This window comes from Homo sapiens, chromosome 5 (assembly GCF_000001405.40).
Source record: "Homo sapiens chromosome 5, GRCh38.p14 Primary Assembly".
NCBI classification, from domain to species: domain Eukaryota; kingdom Metazoa; phylum Chordata; class Mammalia; order Primates; family Hominidae; genus Homo; species Homo sapiens.
The window spans coordinates 142386996-142412260 of record NC_000005.10 but is presented as its reverse complement, the minus strand read 5'-3'; the positions used below and the strand labels follow the sequence as shown (position 1 = coordinate 142412260).

At 47.0% G+C, this 25265-nt stretch overlaps 1 long non-coding RNA gene across 1 annotated transcript in view, besides 3 other annotated features; it reads right to left on the bottom strand.

The window, feature by feature from the left end:
* SPRY4-AS1 (SPRY4 antisense RNA 1) overlaps positions 1–25265 on the bottom strand; it is a 138762-nt gene that overhangs the window by 51794 nt on the left and 61703 nt on the right. The window lies entirely within an intron of this gene.
* Positions 14723–15017: a silencer, noted in NCBI's record as "tiled region #12170; HepG2 Repressive non-DNase unmatched - State 7:EnhWF". NCBI's record gives its function as "represses a minimal TATA promoter and a strong SV40 promoter by Sharpr-MPRA in HepG2 cells {active_cell/tissue: HepG2}" and the evidence as "EXISTENCE:reporter gene assay evidence [ECO:0000049][PMID:27701403]".
* Positions 19592–20271: an enhancer, noted in NCBI's record as "H3K4me1 hESC enhancer chr5:141771555-141772234 (GRCh37/hg19 assembly coordinates)". NCBI's record gives its function as "activates a minimal SCP1, AML or CMV promoter by ChIP-STARR-seq in primed H9 embryonic stem cells {active_cell/tissue: H9 hESC(primed)}" and the evidence as "EXISTENCE:reporter gene assay evidence [ECO:0000049][PMID:30033119]".
* Positions 23154–23655: an enhancer, noted in NCBI's record as "H3K27ac hESC enhancer chr5:141768171-141768672 (GRCh37/hg19 assembly coordinates)". NCBI's record gives its function as "activates a minimal SCP1, AML or CMV promoter by ChIP-STARR-seq in naive H9 embryonic stem cells {active_cell/tissue: H9 hESC(naive)}" and the evidence as "EXISTENCE:reporter gene assay evidence [ECO:0000049][PMID:30033119]".

The following is a 25265-nucleotide window of genomic DNA, read 5'->3' as shown; positions in this document are numbered from 1 at the left end:
GGAGAATATGGCCCAGAGCCCTTGGGGATAGGCCACACAGGACACAGCAGATGGTCCCCAAGCTGGCCTGATCCTCCCATCCCGTTTAATAAGGAGTCAGGATTATGTGCTCAATACCTGAGGTCCTCTTCAGTTCAGCATTCTCCAGTCTGGGAGAAGGGACTCTAGAGAGCAGGGGAAATGTCTGTGTATATGTACATGCATGCACAGACACTTATTAACACACATCTACTTATATTCGGGGCCTCAGCCTGAGTAGCAAAGAACAGCAAAAAACTAGAAGAGATGCTGGAGAGTATGAGGTTCAGAGAGGGGATTTTAGAAGCAGAGGGGCTAAGTCCAAACTCAGAAGTTTACTACAGCTGTGTGACCTTGTGCAAGTGACAGCCTCCCTAGACCTCCAATCCCTTGCTGGTTGAATGGAGCAAATAATAGTGTTAACCTCTCAAAGGCCAGGAGAGAGCCCTGAGCCACTTCCACTTAGAGGCTCCTGTATACTTCACAACAAAGAACAGAAAAGTTAGATTATCATAGTGTGACGTATTTTAAGTGTTTAAAGAAAAATTTTAGGCCAGGCATGGTGGCTCACACCTGTAATCTCAGCACTTTGGATGACCAAGGCAGGCAGATCTCCTGAGGTCAGGAGTTCGAGACCAGCCTGACCAACATGATGAAAACCCCCATCTCTACTAAAAATACAAAAAATTAGCCAGGCGTGTTGATGGGTGCCTATAATCCCAGCTACTTGGGAGGCTGTGGCAGGAGAATTGCTTGAACCGGGGAGGCGGAGGTTGCAGTGAGCTGAGATAGCACCATTGCACTCCAGCCTGGGCAACAAGAGCGAAACTCCATCTCAAAAAAAAAAAAAAATTAGTAACAAATATACAACCTGAGCTAACAGGAAACGCTAATGTCGATTTCCTGGTTTTGATGCATACTAGTTATTTAAGATATCATTGGGGGAAGCTGGGTGAAGGGAACACGGGAATTCTCTGTACTATTTTTGCAGCTTCCTGTGAGTCAAATTATTTCCAAATAAGAAGTTTAAAAAAATTAACAAATACACAAAAACATTATTACATATATAATTTTATTTGAAGACGATGTCAAAAATCTAACCTTGAGGTTTTATGTAAGGAAGATGTCATGGCAAATTTCTTCCTGTTCTTCCCTAACTTCTTCCCCTGTAAGAAGCCTGAGTTATCACAAGGATTAAATTAGATGAGATGTAAACAGGTCTTAGGACAGCACCAGACACAGAACCTCAATATTTGCTATTTTTAAGTTTAATTGTTATTATTACCCAAAACAGCCACAAAGGGAAACAGCATTGCAGCATTGCATTTTGGGGATGTATGCATCACAACGGAGCCATTTTAAATGATGTTCTAGATATAAGGTTATTGGCATGGAAGGGAGTTCATAATATTTTGAGTGGGAAAAACAACGGGTTACAAATTGGTATGGATAGTATTCTCCGAATTCTTTTGCAAGTTAGTATAGCAAGTGCCTTAAGAGCACAGGCTCTGGAACCAGACTGCCTGTGTTCAAATCCTGGCTTGGCTACTTACCTATGTGATCTTAAGAAAGGTAATCATTCTGGGCTTCGGCTTTCTCATCTGTACAATGAGTTTAATAATAAAACCAATCATTGAATTGTTGAGGATGAAGTGAGTCCCTACATGCAAAATGCTGGCAAATGGTAACACTCAAATGTTCGCCATTGATATTTTATTTTACATTAATATATACTCATTAGGAACATGTCTGGAAGAGCATACAAATACCTAAAGAACAGCAGCAATTATTTGAATGATAGCATTGCAGAAGACTTTTATCTTCTTATTTTTCCTGATATTTTCAATTTTTCAAAATAAACATGGGTTGAAAAAAACCCTGAAATTTGCTGGGTGCGGTGGCTCACGACTGTAATTCCAGCACTTTGGGAGGCCAAGGCAGGCGGATCACAAGGTCAGGAGATCAAGACCAGCCTGGCTAACACAGTGGAACCCCATCTCTACTAAAAATACAAAAAATTAGTTGGGCGTGATGGAGCGCGCCTGTAGTCCCAGCTACTTGGGAGGCTGAGGCAGGAGAATCACTTGAACCTGGGAGGCAAAGGTTTCAGTGAGCCGAGATCGCACCACTGCACTCCAGCCTGGGTGACAGAATGAGACTCCATCTCAAAGCAAACAAACAAACCAACCCTGAAATTCTTAAGATTGAAATTTAAAATTTTGTTTAAATACATACATTGTTTTCACATAATATCCAGGAGAAAACAGGAAGAAAAAATCTGTAACAAACATATAAAACAGTAGCTCATACGCTCATCTAACAGAATTACTTTGGGCTTTGCTAGTGTCTCAAAGTAGCTAGTTGGGTGTTTCCTTCCAGCCCATGGCTCTCAAAATACATTGCTTAATGCACCTATGCAGGTCACTAACGTACTGATGTATATTTTTAACCACACACATAATCCCAGGTCCAAATATACCTCACACACATATGTACATATTACCAAAGAGAAGAGAATATAAATGCAAGGTAAATCTAGTCACAGAAAGTACCTTGGCAAAAGGCAGCAAAGGGCACAAAGACCTTTCTGTGGGTTCCCCATGCTAAGGTTCCTGTGTAGTTCACAACCAGTAACATTTAGACAGCGTGGACCTGTGCCCTCCTTCTCAGAGCAGTTGCCTTCCCACGGCTGCCTGCCACCTCCCTCACTGGCACTGGACATAAAGGGGCCTTACGTCTAAGGATTGTGACAAACCAAACATCATCCAGAGGAAGTCAGAAATCCTGGTCCCCGCCTTCCCCACAGTTTGCCCAGCAGGCAGGAGGCTGGCCCCTGCCCCAGGTCTCAGGTAGCCCTGCCTCTCTCCGTGAGCACAGCCCCAGGCCAGCCATTGCTGGAGAGCTGCCCCTGGTCCACTCGGCTTCGTTACACGAAAATAAAACACCAGCCTGTTCAGGGTCTGCCCAGCACATTATCGAGAGGAAGCTATAAAAGCTGCCAACACGGGTTACCTCAAGCATTTTCCTTCTCAAATGCACCGGGAGTGAGGCACTGCCTTTCCTTCGCTTCCCCGCCTTCCATCTCTTCGGAAAAGGCTTTCTGTGTCCTGCCTGTGTTTATTGACATCCCAGCTTCTTGGCCGTTCCAGCTTCGCTGGAGCGATTCTCCCTCCTTGCCATTCAAAGTGGCCCCTGTTCCGACCCAGCGCCCATAACATGCGCTTCCAGACCGCACGGACCACTGGCTTCTCAAAGTCTGGCTCAGAAACCAAATAAAAAGCTTTTCATTTACACTCAAGTTTATGTGGAGGAGCTCAAAAGCCTTATTTTCATGTCTTACACAGCTCCCACCTGAATAAATTCATTTTAAGTGCCACTTTTCCATTTGTGGATTACAAAGCTGTGAGGAAGTCTGAGGGACAGCCCCTCAGGCTCCGTGGGATACTACAGGGAAGGCTGGGGTGCAAGGTGACCCCTGAGGGACCAAGAAGGCCGAAGGATGCCAAAACCCTCGGCAGTAAACACCACAGCCCTTGGAAGGGCAGGCCTGGGCCAAGCCCCTGCCGGAGGCAGTCGACCTTCCAGCTTGGTCAGAGTTGAAAGTGTGGTCCTTAGAGTCCTGGCTTCAAATCTCAGCTCAGCAAGTTCCTAGCTGTGTGTGCTTGGGGCATGGGACGGCCTCTACAGCTTATTTCTTCATCCGTAAAATGGAGATGACACTTTGGGGCCAAGCCTATTGTATTGATTCAATGAGACAATGAAATATAAAATGCTAACTGCTGTGGATAGCACACAGAAACCCCCAATAGACAGCATCCATTGCCACTAAGATTCATTATCTTTAAATGTGTGAAGCACAGACTCCATGCTCCTTCCTCTTTGGACATCACCAGGAAGAGGGAAGTTGGACCACTCTAAGGATACCATACCCAGGCCTGGTTGCCCCCTCGTCCTTCCAACCTTCAGTGGCTATAATTTCGATAAACAGTTCCCATGCTAGGTGCTGGGTATATGCAAAACAGCCATAGTCCCTGGCCTCCAGAGCTCCCAGTGTGGTGGTAAAATACACAGTCCTAACAAAGGGTGACTTGCTACAATGGCTGTGTGCATACCACGCAGAATAGCACAAGAGAAGGAACAGCTGATCCTGCCCAGCGACATCTAGAAATAATGATTGTTGAAAACAATAAGGTCCTATGTGACCTGGTAGCCTCCACCCTGGCTTCATTTCCTAGTTATCCCTCCTCTCTGTCTTGTTGTACCAGATTCAGTCCCACCTGGAGGCTCTGCTGGGATGCTCCCCAACATTAATTCTATCTACCTACCTGTCTGTCTGTCTAGATAGAGTCCTGCTCTGTCGCCCAGGCTGGAGTGCAGTGGTATGATATCCGCTCACTGCAGCCTCTGCCTCCTGGGTTCAAGTGATTCTCCTGCCTCAGTCTCCCCAGTAGCTGGGATTACAGGCATACCACCACACCTGGCTAATTTTTGTATTTTTAGTAGAAACAGGGTTTCACCATGTTGGCCAGGCTGGTCTCGAACTCCTGACCTCAAGTGATCCACCCGCCTCGGCCTCCCAAAGTGCTGGGATTACAGGCATGAGCCACCGCACCTGGCCTCCCCCAACATTCTCATGATTGGCACCTCCATATCCCCAGGGTCTCTGCTCACTTGTTATCTCCCAATAAAAGCCTTCCTTCCCAGCCACACCAACGATGTCTTTGTTCCCTCTCCCTGCTTTACTGTTCTTCACTCCAATATTACAATCAAATCTACTTGCTTACATGTTTCTCATCCATCTTCCCTACTAGCGTGTGACCTCCATGAGGGTGGGGACTGTTTTCTTCATAACTATGACCTCTCAACCTAAAACATTACTTGAATCCACAAATTAATGGCCACAGTCAGAAGGTGGGCGCTCGCTGAATGTGAAGTATTAGGCTAAGAGCTTCATGTACATCAGCATTTCATCCTCACAGCCTCTCAGGGCAAGTGCGGAGGTCATGGCAGCCAGGAGCTCACAAGGTGGGGAGACAGTGTCTCTGGAAGGCAGGTCTAGGTAAACAGGTGCTACTCTAGGGCACCTGATATAAAAGGTTCAGTGGAGTCTGGGGGAGACACTGACAGCGTCCACCCCCGCCACCAGTAACTCTGGACCCTGCCCAAGCCCACTGCATAGGCTCCTCCAGGCAGTCCCGCTACGCCCATCTGAGCCGCTGTGCTGGCCTTTCTCTTTGGACATCACCAGCAAGAGGGAAGTTGGACCACTGTAAAGATGCTATATCCAGGCCTAGCCTCCCCTTTGTCCTTCCAACCTTCAGTGGCTATAATTTTGATACACAGCTCCCAGGGATACATCCCAGGGTGGATAAATAAAGCTAAGGGTCTCTCCTGTGTCTGAGAGACCTGCCGTCCAGCGTCTGCCTTCCCTAAGAGCCAAGGAGATCAAGTGGATGAGAAAGTGCCCAGCAATTCCCATGTGCCCACAGCAGCCAGCATTTACTGAATGCTCATCACACCCCAGGGCCCATGCCAAGGCTCTATATACATTCTCATGTCATCCTTACACTCTCTGGGTAGTTATGGCTCTCCTCTTTTATAGATGGGGACCCAAGGATCAGAGAAATTAAGTCACTTCCAAGCTCACAGAGCTACGAAGTGGCAGAGCCAGGATTTGAACCCCAGTGTGTCAGATTCCCAAGATCCTGCGTTACCCACTCTGTTCCAGTGCCTCAGCCCTGCCCACATGACTTCTTCCCTAGCTTGGGTCTGCTTCCCTGATCACCCAAGGTGCACAGCAGAACAGAGAGCATGGGCTCAGGGACCAGACCTGGGCTCAAATCCCTGCCTCACTACTTCAAATGTGTCTGGGCGGTTGGTTACCCTCTTGGAGCTTCAATTCCATCTGCATGGGAAGGTGAAGGATACCTACTGCAGAGATGTGAGAATAACTGAGATGCGTGCCTACCAGGCACACAGCAAACACAGCACAGCCAGCGAGAGTCATCTCTGGACAAGCCTCTGCTGGCCCTGGCACTTGCTCCCAGCTAGGTCCTGCCCAGTGGCCAGCAAAGGCTGGGTCAAAGCCTCTCTCCAACTCCCAGGAGAGCTGCCCCCAGAGGACAAAACGCAGGGGCTCTGCCAGAACCCTCACAGTAGGCTCCATCCCTCCACTGATGAGTGTCTCAGGATTTTCCCTTTTTGGGGGAGAGCCCCGCCTACTGAATCTGGCTGGGCTCAGGCACACTCTATAGCTTCAGTTTTCCCACATATACTTTGGAGGAAAAAAATGTTTTACATTTATCAGGTACCTGAAAAGTGCCAAACTCATTTTAAGTACATGAGCTTCAATCTCTACTTGCAGGTTAGCAACATCTGTGGACATATTATAGGATATATTAAAGCCTCAGTTTACTCTTCTGCGAAATGGAGATGATGATTAACCTGCTTCACTAAGTTGTGAGGATTAAACGAGGTAAAGCATGTGAAATGCTTATGGCAGTGCCTGGCACATGAGAAATAATAAATGTTAGCTTTCATTATGTCTCACAGCTAAAGAAACAGACACTAGGAGAGCAACCAATCTGCCCAGCATCTCCGGCAAGGTGATGGGATTTGAACCGAGACCTGTCTAACACCAGGCCACCCTCCATGCTGACATTTCAACACGCCCATCCAGGGACCAGTGCTTGTTTGTATTTCAATAGAAAACTATAGCACATCCTTGCAGATTATCGAATTCTAGTCCCGTTCATTGCCTTTGAGCTTTTTTCACCTCTTGATAAATTACATTTTACTGTTTACTTTGTTACCTACTGTGAATTGGACTGGATTTGCCATTCTGCACATTTCATCAGTTCTTACCAACTTCTCAATTTTTCTACTTTTTACGTTTTCTCCCACCCTCCTGATGTCACTGAGAGCTAAAGGCTGACTGCCCAAATCCTCATTGCAACTCTAGGCTGTCTTATAGCTGATCTTCCCCCCAAGATCTAAACTAGGCTTGCAAGCTGGGTGACTTGACATAAACTTCAAAGGACCCATCACCACAGCAGACCATGAATCTCCCTCGTTTAAATGCCTGATGGTTGTCCATCAAGTATCCTCTACCGCCAGGCCCCAACAGACATTCAAGCTGGTCCTTAATGAACAAAAGGCGACCGAACAAAAAATTGACCTATATTACTCAGAGAAAAGAAGAATTTTTCTTTCCTTGAACGAGAGGAAGCACTGACAAAAACCCTTTCTTTGACCAAACTTTAGTTAGGCTCTTCTGAGCCTTCTTCTGAACGTTGGCCTTCTGTGTCCCTCCTGTCCTTGCCAGGCCTGCAGAGCCCAGTCTTAGCAAGAATCCTGCAAATTCAGTTTAGGGAGTCCCCTACCCTTGATGCCTGATAAAGCGCTTCATCCCCTACCTTGGGTGTGTAAGTCCTTGGCCTGCCCTTAGCAAGAGTCCTTTTAGGTCTGTTTAGTGAGAATCCCGTTCCCTTGATGTCTCCTCTTAGTAACTTTCCATCCACTGACCCCCTCTTCTCTGTTTCTTAGCTGTAAATCCTCAACTGTCTTGCTGCATTTAGAGTTGAGCCCCATCTCTCTCCCCTATTGCAATAACCCTGTTGCAAGACTCCTGACTAAAGTCTTCCTTACCATTTTTACAAGTGCCAGAATAATTTTTTTCTTTAACAACACTCAGGCTTGCTTCAAGTAGGAGGGCCTCCCCTGCCTGAAAATGCTCCATTCATATCCCAGTCAAATACCATCCCCAGATCTCCTCTCATAGCCATCTCCCTCTCCTCACAGCAAGCAAACATCTGACAAGGACTGCATTGCTTTCCCCGCCACCACCCCGGGGATCTTCACCTCTCTCAGGCCGCTGCCAGCCTCCCTACCTGCCCTGCCAGCCGTCAGCCCCCAGCTTCACGCCAGTCCATTCACGTAGAGAACACGGCTATGAAAATACAGAAACGCACTTCCCATCTGGAAACGCCTCAGAGCTAAATATTATGTAGGATGTGATGGTGTGCGTCTACCAGCAAAAAAGCGAGGCTTAAAGAAACACTGAGACACGAGGAGACTGCTAGTGAGAGGCCAGTGCGTCAGCAAGAGCTAAACTTAGCAACCTAATCCTCTAACTTCATTCTTTCAGGAAAGAGAGCGGTAGGAGAAAAATGTATGAACATATTTAAATAAAAGAACCTTTGAGAGAGCAAGAAAATCCACATCCTAACTGACCTGTTGCTACTTTGCAGAAACGAGCGTAGAGAAGGCGACGTTTTGGGGAGCTAGCCCTGAGGTCAGTGGTCGACAGAAGGGCTCTATCCAAGTAATCAAATTCCCTGGTAGAAGGTCCCTTTGGAGCCAGTGGCTGCATGGTACAAAGGAAGCTGCAGCAAGGGGAAGAGATTCTTAAAAACTGGAAGTTCTGGAAAAACCTGTAACACAGCTTTCAAACAGATTTTGCTTTCGAGTAGAGTGGCTGGTATAAAAACACGCATCATCTAGGCACTAAATGGCTCCAGGGAGTGTTTGAAAGAGGAGGAGCAGGGACAGGAAAGTCACAGGCAATGACAAGTGGTGCGTGTAAACACACGTGTGAAGCCCAAGTTCAAGCTCAGCTGTGCCTGTGACCAGCTCTAGGGGTGGGGTGGGTGGGTTGCCCTAGTCTAGTTGCCAGACTAACTCACCCATGAAACAAAGGTAATGGCCAGGCACGGTGGCTCACGCCTGTAATCCCAACACTTTGGGAGGCCGATGCAGGCGGATCACCTGAGGTCAGGAGTTTGAGGCCAGCCTGGCTAATGTGACAAAACCCCATCTCTACTAAAAATACACAAATTAGTCAGGCGTGGTGGCACACGTCTGTAATCCCAGCTACTCGGGAGGCTGAGGCAGGAGAATAGCTTGAAGCTGGGAGATGGAGGTTGCAGTGAGCAGAGATCGTGCTACTGCACTCCAGCCTGGGAGACAGAGCGAGACTCCATCAAAAAAATAAAAAATAAAAAAAATAAAGAAAGAGAGAGAGAGAAAGAGAGAGGGAGAGAGAGAGAAACAGAAAGAGAGAAAAAGAGGAAGAGAGAGAAAGAGAGAAAGAGAGGGAGAAAGAAAGAAAGAGAGGAGAGAAAGAGGAAGAAGGAGAGAAAGAGAAAGGAGGAGAGAAATGAGGACAGAAAGGAGGAGAGAGAAGAAGAGAGGAAGGAAGGAAGGAAGGAAGGAAGGAAGGAAGGAAGGAAGGAAGGAAGGAAGGAAGGAAGGGAGCCTGTCCATGCTTTAAGACATGTTTAAGTACTAAGATACTACTTATCTCTGGATTTATGTGTAGGGAAAGAGGCGGGTAGCTTAAAAAATTTTTCCCCTGGAATCAAGCCTTCTGCTTTGATCCATTATTAAAATATTTCATCACACTATTAAAAATGTATTGATCCCCACAAAGGGTTAATATTTTTATTACAGAGTCTGCATAAATCAGTAAGAAAAATACAAGCACCCCAATAGGAAAATGAATAAAGGATACGTAAATCAATTCACAAAAACATAAAAATAGCTATTAATTATATGGGGGAAAAAAATGACCTTACTGGGAACCAGAAAAAAAGGCATAATAAAATAAAAACAAGGCCAGGCATGGTGCCTCACACCTGTAATGCCGACACTTTGGGAAGCCGAAGTGGGAGGATTGCTCAAGACCAGAAGTTCGAAACCAGCCTGGGCAACATAGTGAGGCCCCGTCTCTACAAAAATAAAAATTTAGCCAGACATAGTGGCATGCCTGCAGTCCCAGCTACTCAGGAGGCTGAGGCAGGAGGATAGCTTGAGCCCAGGAGTTCAAAGCTGCAGTGAGCTATTATTGTACCACTGCCCTCCAGCCTAGGCGACAGAGCAAGACCTGTATAAAAAAAAAATTAAAAAAAGCAAAGCTTCTCCCATCTAGCATTTGGCGAAGTCCTAAAAATCCAATAATACCCAGCAAGGGCCAGGATTCAGAGAATCATTATGCCCCCTCACACAACAATAGGAAGGCAAATTAGCATTTCTTTAGGTCAATTAGAGCATACAAAAATTCTTACATGGACATCCCATTCGACCCTGTAATTCCACATGCACAAAGATTTATCTGTAAAGATTTAACCACAATATGATTTTATAATGCTAAAAAATTGGAAAGTCTTCTATCCAATAAAAGGAATATATTATATATGGCAGAACAGTTAAAACTGTTACATAACAACTAAAAATCAGGCTGTAAGAAAAATCTAAAGATACAGGAAGATGTTTACATTATGTACAAAACAGATTCTGAAGCTGTACATATCAAATTTTGTAAGCCATCTCTCATATACATGACACATAGGCACAATGAAGTAAATACCAGGAGATAGACAAAAATATTACCAGTGTTATTTATGAGAGTTGGATAATCATGAGTGGTTTTGATTTCCTTACACGTCTTTTTATTTTCAAAGTTCTTTTTTTGTTTGAGACAGGGTCTCGCTCTGTCACACAGGCTGGAGTGCAGTGGTGTGAACACAGCTCACTGCAGCCTTGACCTCCTGGGCTCAAGTCATCTTCTGGTCTTAGCCTCCCGAGTAGCTGGGACTACAGGCGTGTGCCACCATGCACAGCGAATTTCTGTATTTGCTGTAGAGAGGGGGTTTCGCCATGTTGCCTGGGCTGGTCTGGAACTCCTGGGAGATCTACCCACCTCTGCCTCCCAAAGTGCTGGGATTATATGCGTGAGCCACGGTGCCCAGCCCAAAATTCTTAAATAGATATGTGACTCTTTTGTATTCAGAAAACCCTATTACTTTTTAAAAGAAAGAGGGGAAAAAGTATCTTTCTGTCTTTCTAACAAGTAAAAGGCACTGAATTAACTACTCCAGCCAGAAACCTGCCCCAGGCCAGAGACTGCCCTGCCCAGCAAACTTCTTTCACATCCTCATCCATGACCCCTGAGAACTTTCAGGCCATGGGCCATACATTTTAGGCTTCCTCTTGCCCACTTTTTTTTTTTTTTTTAGAGACAGAGTCTCGCTCTGTCGCCCAGGCTGGAGTGCAGTGGTGTGATCTCAGCTCACTGCAAGCTCCGCCTCCCGGGTTCACGCCATTCTCCTGCCTCAGCCTCTGGAGTAGCTGGGACTACAGGCGCCCGCCACCATGCTCGGCTAATTTTTTGTATTTTTAGTAGAGACGGGGTTTCACTGCGTTAGCCAGGATGGTCTTCATCTCCTGACCTCGTGATCCGCCCGCCTCGCCTCCCAAAGTGCTGGGATTACAGGCGTGAGCCACCGCGCCCGGCCTCTTCTTGCCCACTTTTTACCTAAGGTCTATAGTCTGCAATTCATGAAGGTCAGATCCCAGCCCAAGTCCTGAGGGTCTTCCTAGCACTTGTCTAGCCCAGCCTTCAATCAAATGAGAGAGACAAACGACCTTACAGCTATAGAGTCCTGATAGTTCTCACGATGGTTTCAGAGATTCTCATCAGCTCCTGGGAGGCTCTCTCACAAACTCGGAGGTCGGCAGGGCGCTGTCAGCGCTCCCACTTTAGGAAATGGAAAGCAAGGGCTCAGGAAATTGAAGATGTGCCCCAAGGCAGACACAGAAACAGGACAGGAGCCCGGAGCTGGCTTACAGTGGAGAGCTCTCTCCAATCCAGCTGCCTGCTGACCCCAGGCTCCTCAGCCATTGCCAGCGAGCCACAGCTGGGAAGGAACTGGGGCCCCAGCATCCCCACCGCCATCTGGCAAAGGCCACACCTGTGGGCTCACTTTAGTCTCCTTCATTCATCCCCATCTCTACCCTCTGCCCCTGCTCCCACTCCCATAATAAAAAGAATCAGGGAAATCAGGAGAAGCTCCTCTCACAACTCATTAATTCAGTTAACTGTCTAATCTTCTACTATTATCTCACAGGTCAAGTTGTTCTAATTTTTCAATCGAAATTGTGTGGGCTGGGTGCAGTGACGTGTGCCTATAGTCCCAGCTACTTGAGAGGCTGAGACAAGAGGATTGCTTGAGCCCCGGAGTTCAAGGCTGCAGTGCACTATGATCTGATCATGTCTATGAATAGCCACTGCATTACAGCCTGAGCAACATAACATGTATGGGTCAGAGCTTGCTCAGCTGTGAGTGACAGAAACTAAAGTCAATCTGGCATAAGTTAAAAAAAAAAAAAAGAATTCATTAGCTCATGTCACTAGGGAGTGGCTGGATCTAAGGCCTCAAACATCAGCTCTCCCTGCCCTTTCTCCACTTAGTGAGCAGGATATTAATCAACAGCCTCACATTCACATCCTACCAGGTCCAGCAGAAATAGACCATCTTCCCCAACAACTCTGGCAGAGAAGTACCAGGAAGGACTCAACTGACTCAGACCACCTGCCTACTCTTAAGGACACAGGGCAAAGGTCAGCCCCATCCAACTCCACAAGAAAAGGTGTTCTCTTCCCAGACGGAATGAGCGATAATGGAAAGGAAACCAAAAACGGATTTCCACCTAAACAAATCTCTCCTGCTTTAAGATCAAATCTGATTTTTGGCACAGACATTCATTGGCAGTGGTAAGCATGAGTGATGCCACAGGGCTGGGTTACTCTGTCACCCAGGCAAAGTGAGTTATTAGCTAACATTCACTAGAAATGCCCAAATACTACTACCAAAATCTAGGTAATAATTTTTTTGTTGTTGTTGTTTTTTGTTTTTTTTTTAATTTTCTAAGAGGCAGAGTCTCAGTCTGTCACCCAGGCTGGAGTGCAGTGGCACAATCGTAGCTCACTGCAGCCTCCAACTCCTGGGCTCCAGCAATCCTCCCGAGTAGCTGGTTCTACAGGCACACATCACCATGCCCAACTAATTTTTTTTTTTGAGACGGTGTCTCGCTCTGTTGCCCAGGCTGGAGTCCAGTGGCGTGATCTCAGCTCACTGCAACCTCCGTCTCCTGGGTTCAAGCAATTCTCTGCTTTAGCCTCCCAAGTATCTGGGATTACAGGCACCCACCACCACCCCTGGCTAATTTTTGTATTTTTAGTAGAGATGGGGTTTCACCATGTTGCCCAGGCTGGTCTTGAACTCCTGACCTCAGGTGATCCACCTAACTCGGCCTCCCAAAGTGGTGGTTATAGGTGTGAGCCACTTTGCCTGGCCCATGTATCATTATTTTACATATCAGTTCAACAACAGTGAGCAAGACCAACCTCTCATTCTCACAGTACTTTCATTTTAATGGAAAGAGACAGAAAATACACATATATAATATGTCAGGAGGTGGGAAGTGACATAAAGAAAGATGGAGCAGGAAGTAATAAAGTAATCAGGGAAGGCCTCTCAGGTTCCCAGGGGGAACAAGGGGCATGAGCCTTGGGGATACTACAGGAAGAACATTCCAGGCAGAGAGAACCGCCAGAGCAGAGGCCCTGAGACTAAGGGAGCAAAGGGTGTTTGCAGAAGAGCCAGCAGAGCAGCGGGCTGCTATATGCAAGGGTGAGAGGGACGGCAGGGCCTCACCAACCAAGGTAAGGGCTTTCGGTCTCACCCAAGTGAGATATCTGGAGACAACCCAGATATTCTAAGCCACCTGCCTTTCCTGCACTGTCTAGACATTCAGGTGGCTGGCCCTGCTGGAGACCATTCCACAGCCCCACAACTTAGAGCCACAAGTCCAATCTCTACACCCATCACTTCCCCACTCTCAGATACTTCACAGAGGAAACCTCCCCAGGGCCTGTGACACCACTTTGCAATTCTCCTGTCTTCCCAGCAGCACCAGCTACATAATTTGTAGCGCCCAGTTAGGGTTGCCAGATAAAATACAGGATACCGAATTGGAATTCCAGATAAAGAGTAATTGGTTTGTTTGTTTGAAACTGAGTTTTGCTCTTGTTGCCCAGGCTGAAGTGCAATGGCACGATTTCAGCTCACTGCAGCCTCTGTGTCCTGGGTTCAAGCGATTCTCCTGCCTCAGCCTCCTGAGTAGCTGGGATTACAGGCGCCCGCCACCACGCCCAGCTATTTTTTTGTATTTTTAGTAGAGATGGGGTTTCGCTATGTTGGCCAGGCTGGTCTCAAACTCCTGACCTCAGGGGATCCACCCACCTTGGCCTCCCAAAGTGCTGGGATTACGGGCGTGAGCTACCGTGCCCAGCTGTGAGTAACTGTTAATCTCAGTATGTCCCAGATATTGCATGGGACACACTTACACTCAAAACAAATATGAAAATGAAGCGGCCTGTGTTCAAAAATCATTAACAATTTCAAGACAGTGATGCCAGAGCATTATACAAAGCAAGAAGCCCTTTTAAGTGTAGGGACCCGTGCGACTGCTCAAGCTGCCCACTCATGAAGCCAGCCCTGCTCCCCACTCAGCTCTCCTGTCCTTACAGGAGACAATTGCAATTCAACTTCCCTAAACATCTGACCCACCACTCCCTCTCTTGCAGCTACTTTATATAGGAAACAAACCATCTTAAAGGAAGTTCCTCAATGTCCCAGTCCCACCCATTCTCCTGGTCTCTACTCTACCTGTTCCAATGGGAGTCCTCTTTCTATCTGAGTCAGGATCCCATACTCTTCCCCACCTTCTCAGGTCCTCACACTTTCCACTACCCACCTCGTCTCTATCTTCAACTTCTGTTCTACCAGAAGTCTACCTCTCAGAAGCAATTTAACATGCTCCAATCTTCCTGCATGGTTTTTGTTTTGTTTTGTTTTGTTTTTTTTAAAAAAAAAGCTTTCCTGGATCCTCACATACCCTTCCCTTCATATTTAATATCTTGAATGAAGGAGCTACATTCCCATCAACCTTCTGTTATCTGGCTGTCACACTCTTGCTGTCATCATCAATGACCTTTGTGGTACTTCTCAGGCCTTATCTTTCTTTCCTGCTTAAAACTCCCTTTCCTCAGTGTTAGTGTCACCAAATTCTCCTGGCTTCTTCTATGTGAGGCATGTCTTCTCGGTTTCCTCTGTGGGCCTCCTTTCCTTAAACACGGCTCTGTCCTAGACTCTCTTTTCATGTGTTACACACTCTCACCCACCATGGAACCCAGGGGTTCTACGTGTTGAAGCAGCCCACATTTCTCTCTAGTCCAGATGTCTCTCCTGAGTTTCAGACTCTAATGTTTACAGGACAGCTCCACTCTATGTCCTTGAACTCAACATGTCCAAAATGAGACTCAAAAAATAAAAAGTGGACTCCTTCTCCCCTATGCCCTCACCTGGTACTGTTAAGGCAGGAGAATAGGGTCTGAAGGTAGGGAACCTAAGGCTGATTTGTGCTGACTTCCTAGAACTGAATCAAAAGGAAAATCTTACCTCTCTACGCCCAAGTAACAAAAGGATCAGAGGCTACTCCTTTTGCAACCCCACCCCCTTTCTGCATTGCAAATGAAAAATGGAAAGCACCTCTGATTGGTCCCCTCCCACAACCAATCAGACTGGTCCCTGGCCAAGTCTTCATTTGCATAGGTTGTAACTCTGTAACTTCACTTCAGCCTCTAATTGGTCACCTCCCACAACCAAACAGACTGGTCATGGACCAAGTCTTCATTGACATAGGTTGTAGCCAAGTAACCGATGGGAAACCTCTAGAGAGTATTTAAACCCCAGAAAATTCTGTAACCAGGGCTTGCTCCAGCCCACTCCCACTCTGTGGAGTGTACTTGCATTTCAATAAATCTGTGCTTTCATTGCTTCATTCTTTCATTGCTTTGTGTGTGTTGTCCAATTCTTTGTTCAAAATGCCAAGAACCTGGACAACTCATGGTCAAGACCTTCCACTGGTAACACTGCCTTCTGTTTCTGAATGGTAACCCATTTCCAAGCCATAAACTCAGGTGATTCTCCTCCACCTTCATATCATCAAATCCCAATTCTGCTTTCTAAATCTCTCTTGATTGCATGCCTTCCCTTCTGCCTCTCCTATTTCAGGTTACCTGGATCTCTTCCCTAGTAAAATCTTTCAACAGTCTTCCAGCCCATGCCATTCCCAATCTTGTCCCCTCCCATCTCCACTCAGCAGCCCCAGATGCACACCCTCTCCAGCCTCATCTCCCAGCACTCCCCTCACACAACAGACTTGAGTCACTCGGCATCTCTCAATCTGCAGTGAGACCATGCCACCCCTTGCTTCTCTGGGCTGCAGCACATGCTATTTCCTCTGCCTGGGATTTTCTCAAACTCCAGTACAGCTAACTCCTGCTCCTCAGCCATGGGAAACAGCAAGTAGAGTGGTTAAGTTAGATTCCTTAGCCAACCTTCCTTGGTTCAAACCACAGTTCCACCACTTCCAGGTATACAACCTTAACCATTCTAAGCTTCAATTTCCCCTTCAAAAAAATGGGAATAATAATTGTGGAGATATCACTGGTTGACTGTCCAGCCATTTCTTCTTCCTCACTAACAGAACCCCAATTTTGTCCAGAGACCATGTGCTCATCCCAGAGAATGACTCATGATTGGCAGAAGGAAGTTACAGAAATTTACCTTCTTTCTGGCAGTGATTAATTCTATCTAATGAAATGTAAAAGGAAGCCTACTGAGGGTTTCTGGAAAACAAGAGTACTGCCCTTAGAACCAGACAAGAGAGGCCCCTGCCCTGGGCCCTGTGCTTCAGGGTCCCACCTATTTCAAACACATGCGTAAAAGTTAAACAACACGTGGGCACCTCTGTCATCGAGGGTCACACGGCATGATGTTGTCACAAGTAACACCTAGCACAAGTAACACCTAACACCAGTCAGGCCCCAGAGAAACACTTCACACCTCTTCCCCTGTCCCCTCAAAACAAAAGGTAACTGTGTCTAAATAAGAAGGTTTGTGGATTATGCCACTGCCAACACCAGAGACCAATGCTGCAGTGGAGTGTGGGAAGGATTGGAGTGGTAGAGCACTTAGGGAAAAGAAAAGACAAATTAGCTTGTCAAATCCTTCCTCTCAGCACAAATGCAATACATTCTTGCAAAATGAATAGGAGCATGAATAGGATATTCAGGAGAACTGAATATCCATTTTTTTGCTTCTGTTCCTATTCATGGTTCCAGAGGACTCACAAATCAGTGCTACTAAATTAGCACCAGTTGCACATGGTGGCAGAGGGATATTTTGCAAAATTATATCACATTGCATACATATGTATCATAAATGCAGATACATTATCTCACATAGATATGGGAAATATATTTATAAAATAAAACTTGAAGGATGCATAATACCAATAACACCGATTTTTTTTTTTTTTTTTTGCTGGACTCAAGTGATCCTCCCACCTCAGCCTCCCAAGTAGCTGCGACTACAGGCGCTCACCACCATGCCCGATTAAGTTTTGTATTTTTGTTAGAGTCAGGGTTTCACCACGTTGCCCAGGCTGATCTCCTAGCTCAAGCAGTCTGCCTGCCTCTGCCTCCCAAAATGCTAGGATCACAGGTACGAGCCACTGCACCAGCCAATGCCAATTCTTTTCTTTGGAAATTAAATGGACATTAAGCACTGGAATTTCAGGTATTAAATATCTCATTGAAGTAAAACTAAGATTAAATTTTCAAAATGTTATTTCTTTAGTTTTGAAATAATTTTGATCAAAACGTTAACATTAACTTGTATTTTGCCTTTTACTTTTAATAGATTACAGTGAACATTTTATAAGAAAAAGCTTGTTTAAAAAGGTAATTTGGAGGCTGGGTGCGGTGGCTCATGCCTGCAATCCCAGCACTCTGGGAGGCCGAAGCGGGAAGATCACGACATCAAGAGATCAAGACTGTCGTCCTCATCAGTATAGTGGTGAGTATCCCCGCCTGTCACGCGGGAGACTGGGGTTCGATTCCCTGAGGAGGAGGCAGCAGTCCTTTGGCCGGGCGCGGTGGCTCACACCTGTAATCCCAGCACTTTGGGAGGCCAAGGTGGGCGGATCACCTGAGGTCAGGAGTTCCAGACCAGCCTGATCCACACAGAGAAACCCCATCTCTACTAAAAATGCAAAATTAGCGGAGCTTGGTGGCACATGCCTATAATCCCAGCTATTTGGGAAGGCTGAGGCAGGAGAATCGCTTGAACCTGGGAGGGGGAGGGGGAGGTGGAGGTGGAGGGTGCGGTGAGCTGAGATCATGCCATTGCACTCCAGCCTGGGCAACAAAAGCAAAACTCCATCTCAAAAAAAAAAAAAAAAAAAAAAAAAAAAGAGATCGAGACCATCTTGGCCAACATAGTAAAACCCTGTCATTAGCTGGGCATGGTGACACGCACCTGTAGTCCCAGCTACTTGGGAGGCTGAGGCAGGAGAATCGCTTGAACCTGGGAGGCGGAGGTTTCAGCAAGCCAAGATCGCGCCACTGCACTCCAGCCTGGGGGACAAAGTGAGACTCCGCCTCAAAAAATAAAATAAAATAAAATAAACACCAGTCTGATTAAAGCTGCTGTTCACAGAGTTTCCCCTTATTTGCAGCCCAAAGCATCCCTAACTAATAAAATAGGGCCCAGCTCAGGACTGAATGACATAAATCATGTGACTGGCAAACAGCTCAGTTTTACTCACTCACTATGAGCCAGGGCTATTCTTATGATGGGGCTCCTGGAGCAATGCCTGGCACATAGTTAGGGCACCAAAGAGCTCACCATCCAAACCAGGCACTTTTCAGAGTAAAAGATGGTGCAAATAAAAATTATACCAGGACCAAAGGCCTGTAGCAGGTCAACTAAGCATAAACATTCAATGTCAACTCTGCTTATTCGTGGATTAACTTCAACATCACTTCCTCTGGGCAGGTCTTCCCGATTCCCCCCACTCCATAAAAGCCCACAACTCTTCTTATGTCCTGTATCTCAGCACCTCTCACAGAGTGTATCGCAAAAGCCTGTCTACAAGTCTGCATACACAGCACAAGACCACAGGTCCAGAAAGGTGGGGCTGTGTCTGTCCATTCTTCACTGTATCCATGGGGACTAGCAAATAGTGAGGGTTCAATTAATATTTCTTGAATTAACTAATTATGTCTGTTGCTTATATCCTTGCCTGACCCTAGAAAGTCCACTACGAGTTAAATGTTCTTATATTTACATTTGGGTTCTATGGGAGCGGACCTGTATTATTTATATTCACTCATGTGTCCCCTGAAGTCCTAACTGCAGGGTCCAGGACAGGTTTTTTGTTTTTCCATCGTCCTTTCCAATGGGCAGATAACATGCCTATGGGAACTGTAACAACAGAGAAGAGAGGGAGAGCCTAGAGCTCCCACTAAATGTATCAAGTTTACATTGTCTAGTTGTTAGAAGAGTAAAGAATCAAGATGGGAAATCTCATCCTAGCTAGGCACACAGGCCACATTACTCTGTTAGCAAGAGACCTTTTTTTTTTTTTTTTTTTGAGATGGAGTTTTACTCTTGTTGCCCAGGCTGGAGTGCAATGGTGCAATCTCAGCTCACTGCAACCTCTGCCTCCCGGGTTTAAGCGATTCTCCTGCCTCAGCCTCCTAAGTAGCTGGGGTTACAGGCGCCTGCCACCATGCCCAGCTAATTTTCTATTTTTAGTAGAGGAAAGGTTTCACCATTTTGGTCAGGCTGGTCTCAAACTCCCAACCTCGGGTGATCCACTTGCCTGAGCCTCCCAAAGTACAGGGATTACAGGCATGAGCCACCGTGCTTGGCCAGCAAGTGATTTTTCAACTATGTCTTTCCTTGGCCGAGTGCAGTGACCCACGCCTGCAATCCTAGCACTTTGGTAGGCTGAGGCAGGTGGATCACTTGAGCCCAGGAGTTCGAGACCTGCCTGGGCAACACGGCAAACCCCGCCCCCTCCATTTTTAGTAAAAATACAGAAAAAAAAAAAAAGCCAGACAGCCGGTCGTAGTGGCTCACACCTGTAATCCCAGCACTTTGGGAGGCCAAGGTGGGTGGATCACTTGAGGTCAGGTGTTCTGAGACCAGCCTGGCCAACATAGTGAAACCCCATCTCTAAAAATACCAAAAAGAAATCAGCCAAGCACGGTGGTGCACAACTGTAGTCCCAGCTATTCAGGGGGCTGAGGCAGGAGAACTGCTTGATCTCAGCGGTGAGCCAAGATTGTGCCACTGCACTCCAGCCTCCAGCCTGGGGAAGGAAGGAAGGAAGGAAGGAAGGAAGGAAGGAAGGAAGGAAGGAAGGAAGGAAGGAAGGAAGGAAGGAAGGAAGGAGGGAAGGAAGGAGGGAAGGAAGGAGAGAAGGAAAGGGAAGGAAAGGGAAAGAAAGGGAAGGAAAGGGAAGGGAGGGAAGGGAGGAAAAGAAGGAAAAGAAAGGAAAGAAAGAACCAAGCATGGGGTGTGCCACGTGCCTGTAGTCCCAGTTACTTGGGAGGCTGAGGTGGGAGGATCTCCTGAGCCCAGGAAGTAGAGGCTGCAGTGAGCCAAGATCACGCCACTGCACTCCAGCCTGGGAACATATCTCATGTGATGAGGACAGCCTGTTAGGTTTTGTTCCCCAGACATAATTCTCCATATCTCAACCGGGGATCCTGAGCACACAGCAACCTAGTACTTTCCTCTTCTCTTTCCCTAGTTAGCTTGCAGCTGTTGCCTCAGTAAACCAGCTCTCCAGGACATCCTTCCAGAACTGTGTGCCAGAGTCAGGCAGCCTGACCCAAAAGGGCCAGACACTCTGGCACGTGTCTCCTCAGCCAGACCCCAGAACTCAAAATCCCCTCCTACGAAGGAAGAGAAAAACAACACAGGCTCCCACCAGCCAAAAAAGAACGACAGAAGGAAAGCACAGAATCTGTCCCCTTCTCCTTCTGCCCCATCCTTTTCACATCACATCAAGCCAAGCTGTCTTTGGGGAACAGACAAGATGCAACAGGCAGTTAGACTGGCCCACCCTGGCTAACAAGGCCATCTGACTTCACCAGCAGAACCCCCTTCCAGGTTCAGGGGAAGGGGGCTCAGGGGCTGTATATTTGACAGCAGAAAGAATCGGCTGTGATTTGGGGACTAACATCATACTAGCTGCCCAGCTACCCACAGCTGTGCTGGGAATGTGGCTCTACCAGGAACACTGCTACAGCCAGTCAAGTGTGTCACAGCCCACTTCCATCACCACATTTACGGTCTTCTCTAATGCAGTCAATCTGACAGACAGAAGTCGGAGTGAAAACTGTGCAGATGCCTGCGCTGATCCCATGAGACATTACCAATTTTGTTTTTCCCACATTGTGCACCCAAGATTTCAGAAAAATTCCTTACCTTTCACTAGTCAGAGAGCCGCCTTTTCCATCTGTTGGGGATGCTTTCTTTTCTCTTTCATTAATGCAAATATCACCAGAGCAGTGATTAAAGCGAAGATACAATTTTGAGTTAGTTGTCTATCTTTGGACCTAGAAGGAGACTGCAATGAAAAGTGGATTCTTTCTGGAAACCTAATGGATTATTTTTCCCTGACCCCTGATAACTTACTTTCCTAATCTACAGGACATCCCCCCTACCTGCCTTTACATTAACTTCCCTAGGCGGGAAGAAAAAGACATTTCTGGTTGTGGGAGGGAGGAGGTGGTGGTGAAACAAGCAAATACAGTGAGGCTCCCCTGGCCCCCATCTGTTCCAAATCTTCCCCTCACAGGATGTCATGTCTGAAAAGCAAGAAAAATATTCCTTCCTCTTCCAACATTCAGCAGAATCTTGCATGCAAAGAGAAGAATGTCTCGTTACTCTGTGGGTTCTCATCTGCTTTTTAACTCACAAATTGCCGAATTACACTAGCCCCTCCACCCTCTCCCTCTCTCCCAGTAAAACCCCAGGGGCAGCAGGGCTCAGCACCAGCGAGGAGCTAGCTCCCCACCATACCACCATACCTCTGGCACAAAGGATTAGTTCTCCTGAGCCTGGCCAATGACTTTTGCAGATTTCTAAGCTGAAGACAGGCCAGAGAGCTGTCAGAGCCCCCAGAGGAAGTGAGGCCACCCCCAGGGGGTAAAAGGAGTGGGCTCAGAATTCCCCACTTTTGACCCTGCACTCTCCCTCTCCCCAGCTTCTAGGCACTTTGCATATGGAAGTGCACAGGCAGCCAAGTCCTGGGCATTTGAACAGGAAGGATGTTCCTCAGTAGCTCACAAGGACCCTAACTGCTGCATTTCCAGGACTGGGAGGGCGATATTTATAGAAAGGGCAGCCAGCCAAGCGAGATCAGCTCCAACTTTATTTCAACTAACCCTCTTTTCCATCTTCTGTAGCTCTCCTTCAAGTTAAACAGAGAGGCATTCCTCCCTTTATTGCTTGATTTTTACGCAAGGGCTGAGGCTCTCATTAAAATGATTGAGAAACCCTGACTGAAAAGATGGAAAAGGACCTGCCTGCCTGCCCCTCCCCCTTGGCTCTTAATCTTCCTCTCCTACGTCCCTCTGCCCTGCTTCCCTGCATTCCCCACATGGCACATGCTCCTTCTTATGCCCCTGCAGCACAGAACCCCTTGTGGTCCTGTAGATGAGCAACGCTGTCCCTTACCCTAAATCCAAATTATCCTTCCTCCCAGCTTTCTTTCTCATCCTTTTTTATCACATCCTATAAGGCCTGCATGATCTACTCTCACCCCACCCTCTTCAACCTTATTTCCTATCACTCTTCCCCTACAAACCCCCTCCTCCTCACTGTTGCTCAAACACACTGAACACACCCCTCAGGGCCTTTGTACAGGCTGTTTCCTTTACCCAGAACACACCCTCTAGGGGGGCCATTTGAAAGTCTGGCTCTGACACATGATCCAGATTTCAGCCCTAAAGACCTTGCTAACACTGAGTATTAAAAAGCACTGCAGGCCGGGTGCGGTGGCTCACGCCTGTAATCCCAACACTTTGGGAGGCCAAGGCGGGTGGATCACTTGAGGTCAGGAGTTCAAGACCAGCCTGGCCAACATAGTGAAACCCTGTCTCTATTAAAAATACAAAAATTAGTGAGGCGTGGTGGAGGACGGCTGTAATCCCAGCTACTCAGAATGCTGAGGCAGGAGAATTGATTGAACCTGGGAGACGGAGATTGCAGTGGGCCGAGATCGTGTCGCTACACAGTGAACACTTCACCTCAAAAATAAAACTAAATTAAATTTAAAAAGCACCCCTATGAGCCAAACACAATGACAGGTGCCTGTTGTCCCTGCTAGTAAGGAGGCTGAAGCAGGAGGATTGCTTGGGCCCAGGAGTTCGAGGCTGCAGTGAGCTATGATCAAGCCATTGCACCACAGCTCAGGCAACAGAAGAAGACACCCATCTCAAAAACAAAAAAAGGGCCTAACCTGTCACTCTGTAGCCTCACTATCCCACAGCTGCTTCATTTGCTTCACAGCACCAACAAAGACTCTCTCCTTGACCAAACTTTAGACAGGCTCCTCTAGATCCTCTTCTTCATGTGGCCTGCCTTTAGCAAATAATTCAGCTGAGTCATTCCCCCACCCTCAATATCTGACCAAGTTCCTCATCCCCCACTTTTAATGTGTAAGTCCTTGGCCTGCCTTCCACAGAATCCTGTTGAGTTGGTTTAGCAAGAGTTCCCCTACCCTTCGTGTCTTCTCTTAGTGATTTTCCACCCAATGACCCCCTCACTCTGATTATAAATGCCCAACTAGGTCTTTGCTGGATTCAGTGATGAACTCAACCTCCTTCCTCTATTGCAAAAGTTAACTCCTAGGCCGGGTGCAATGGCTCATGCCTGTAATCTCAGCACTTTGGGAGGATGAGGAGGGTGGATGACCTGAGGTCAGTCAGGAGTTCAAGACCAGCCTGACCACCATGGTGAAACCCTATCTCTACTAAAAATACAAAAATTAGCCAGGTGTGGTGGTATGTGCCTGTAATCCCAGCAACTCAGGAGGCTGAGGCAGGAGAATCGGTTGAACCTGGGAGGCAGAGGGTGCAGTGAGCCGAGATCGCACCACTGCACTCCAGCCTGGGTGACAGAGACTCCATCTCAAAGAAAAAAAAAAGAAAAAAAGTCAACTCCTGTTGCAATAGTCTTGAATAAAGTCTTCCTTACCATAAGTGTTAATTCTTCTTTAATACCACCTGACATCATATGATCTTTTTGTTCATCTTTCTCCCTCCACTGGACTGTAAGTTCCACAATGGCAAGATCTTTATGTGTTTATTCTCTGCTAGATCCTTTGCTTCTAAAATAGTATCTGGGGCTGGGCATAGTGGCTCACGCCTGTAATCCCAGCACTTTGGGAGGCCGAGGCAGGCAGATCACAAGGTCAGTTCAAGACCAGTCTGACCAGTACAGTGAAACCCCGTCTCTACTAAAAATACAAAAATTAGCTGGGCGTGGTGGTACACACCTGTAGTTCCAGCTACTCGGGAGGCTGAGGCACTCCTGCCTCAGTTGAACCCGGGAGGCGGCAGTTGCAGTGAGCCAAGATCATGCCACTGCACTCCAGCCTGGGAGACAGAGCGAGACTCCATCTCAAAAAAAATAAAAAAAAAAATAGTATCTGACACACAACAGACACTCAACAAATGTCTATAAAATGAATCCAGCTACCTCCACTTATCCTGTGATCTCTGTTTGCCCGCCACCTCCTCTGGGAAGTCATTCCTGAATCTTCCAAGGCTTGACCCTGTACTTCAGTTAACAGTGATCACATGGATCTCAGAGGATAATTCTCTTATTATTCAATATGTACTTTAAATGTGTTCATATATAATATACTAATACACAGAATAAAACATAGAAGTCTACTTTGACCGCCTGCCCTCCTTCCCTTTCAGAGCTCCACAATGCCCTGCCCCAGTCTTTTTTTCCTCTGTACATACATCCATGCACATATCTGTTTGCACAACTCTCTCACACACACACACTGCCTGGCTCCAAGCAGGGGCTTAAATAAAAAGGATGAGGACAAAGAGCTCTGGTGGGGCTGAGAGCCACCTGTTTTCCCAAGGCTTTGCCCCATCTTCCTGGCTTTCTCTACCCACAGGAGGAAAGAGACCGCTTCTGTTGGTTTCCCTGCAAGAAGCAGATGAAGTACACAGGACTGTCCACTGTCAGCTCACTTCTTCATTCCAGGAAAACTTTCAAGGCTGGCACAGGTCAGAGAGAGCTGCCTGAGCCCTGCTGCTCCAAAGTGCTCCTGGAGGGCACGAGGATTCAGCCAACCCAGAAAGCCATGGTGGGCCAGGGCCCTGAGGGTGAATGCAGACCTGCCTGGAAGTTAGGGGGTGAGGTTTACCTGGTGGAGGGGGCACCAAGGGAGAGGGGCAAGCTAGTTGTAGAAACAGCCCAAGTAGATTTCCACATAAAGAAAAAGTAAACAGATGA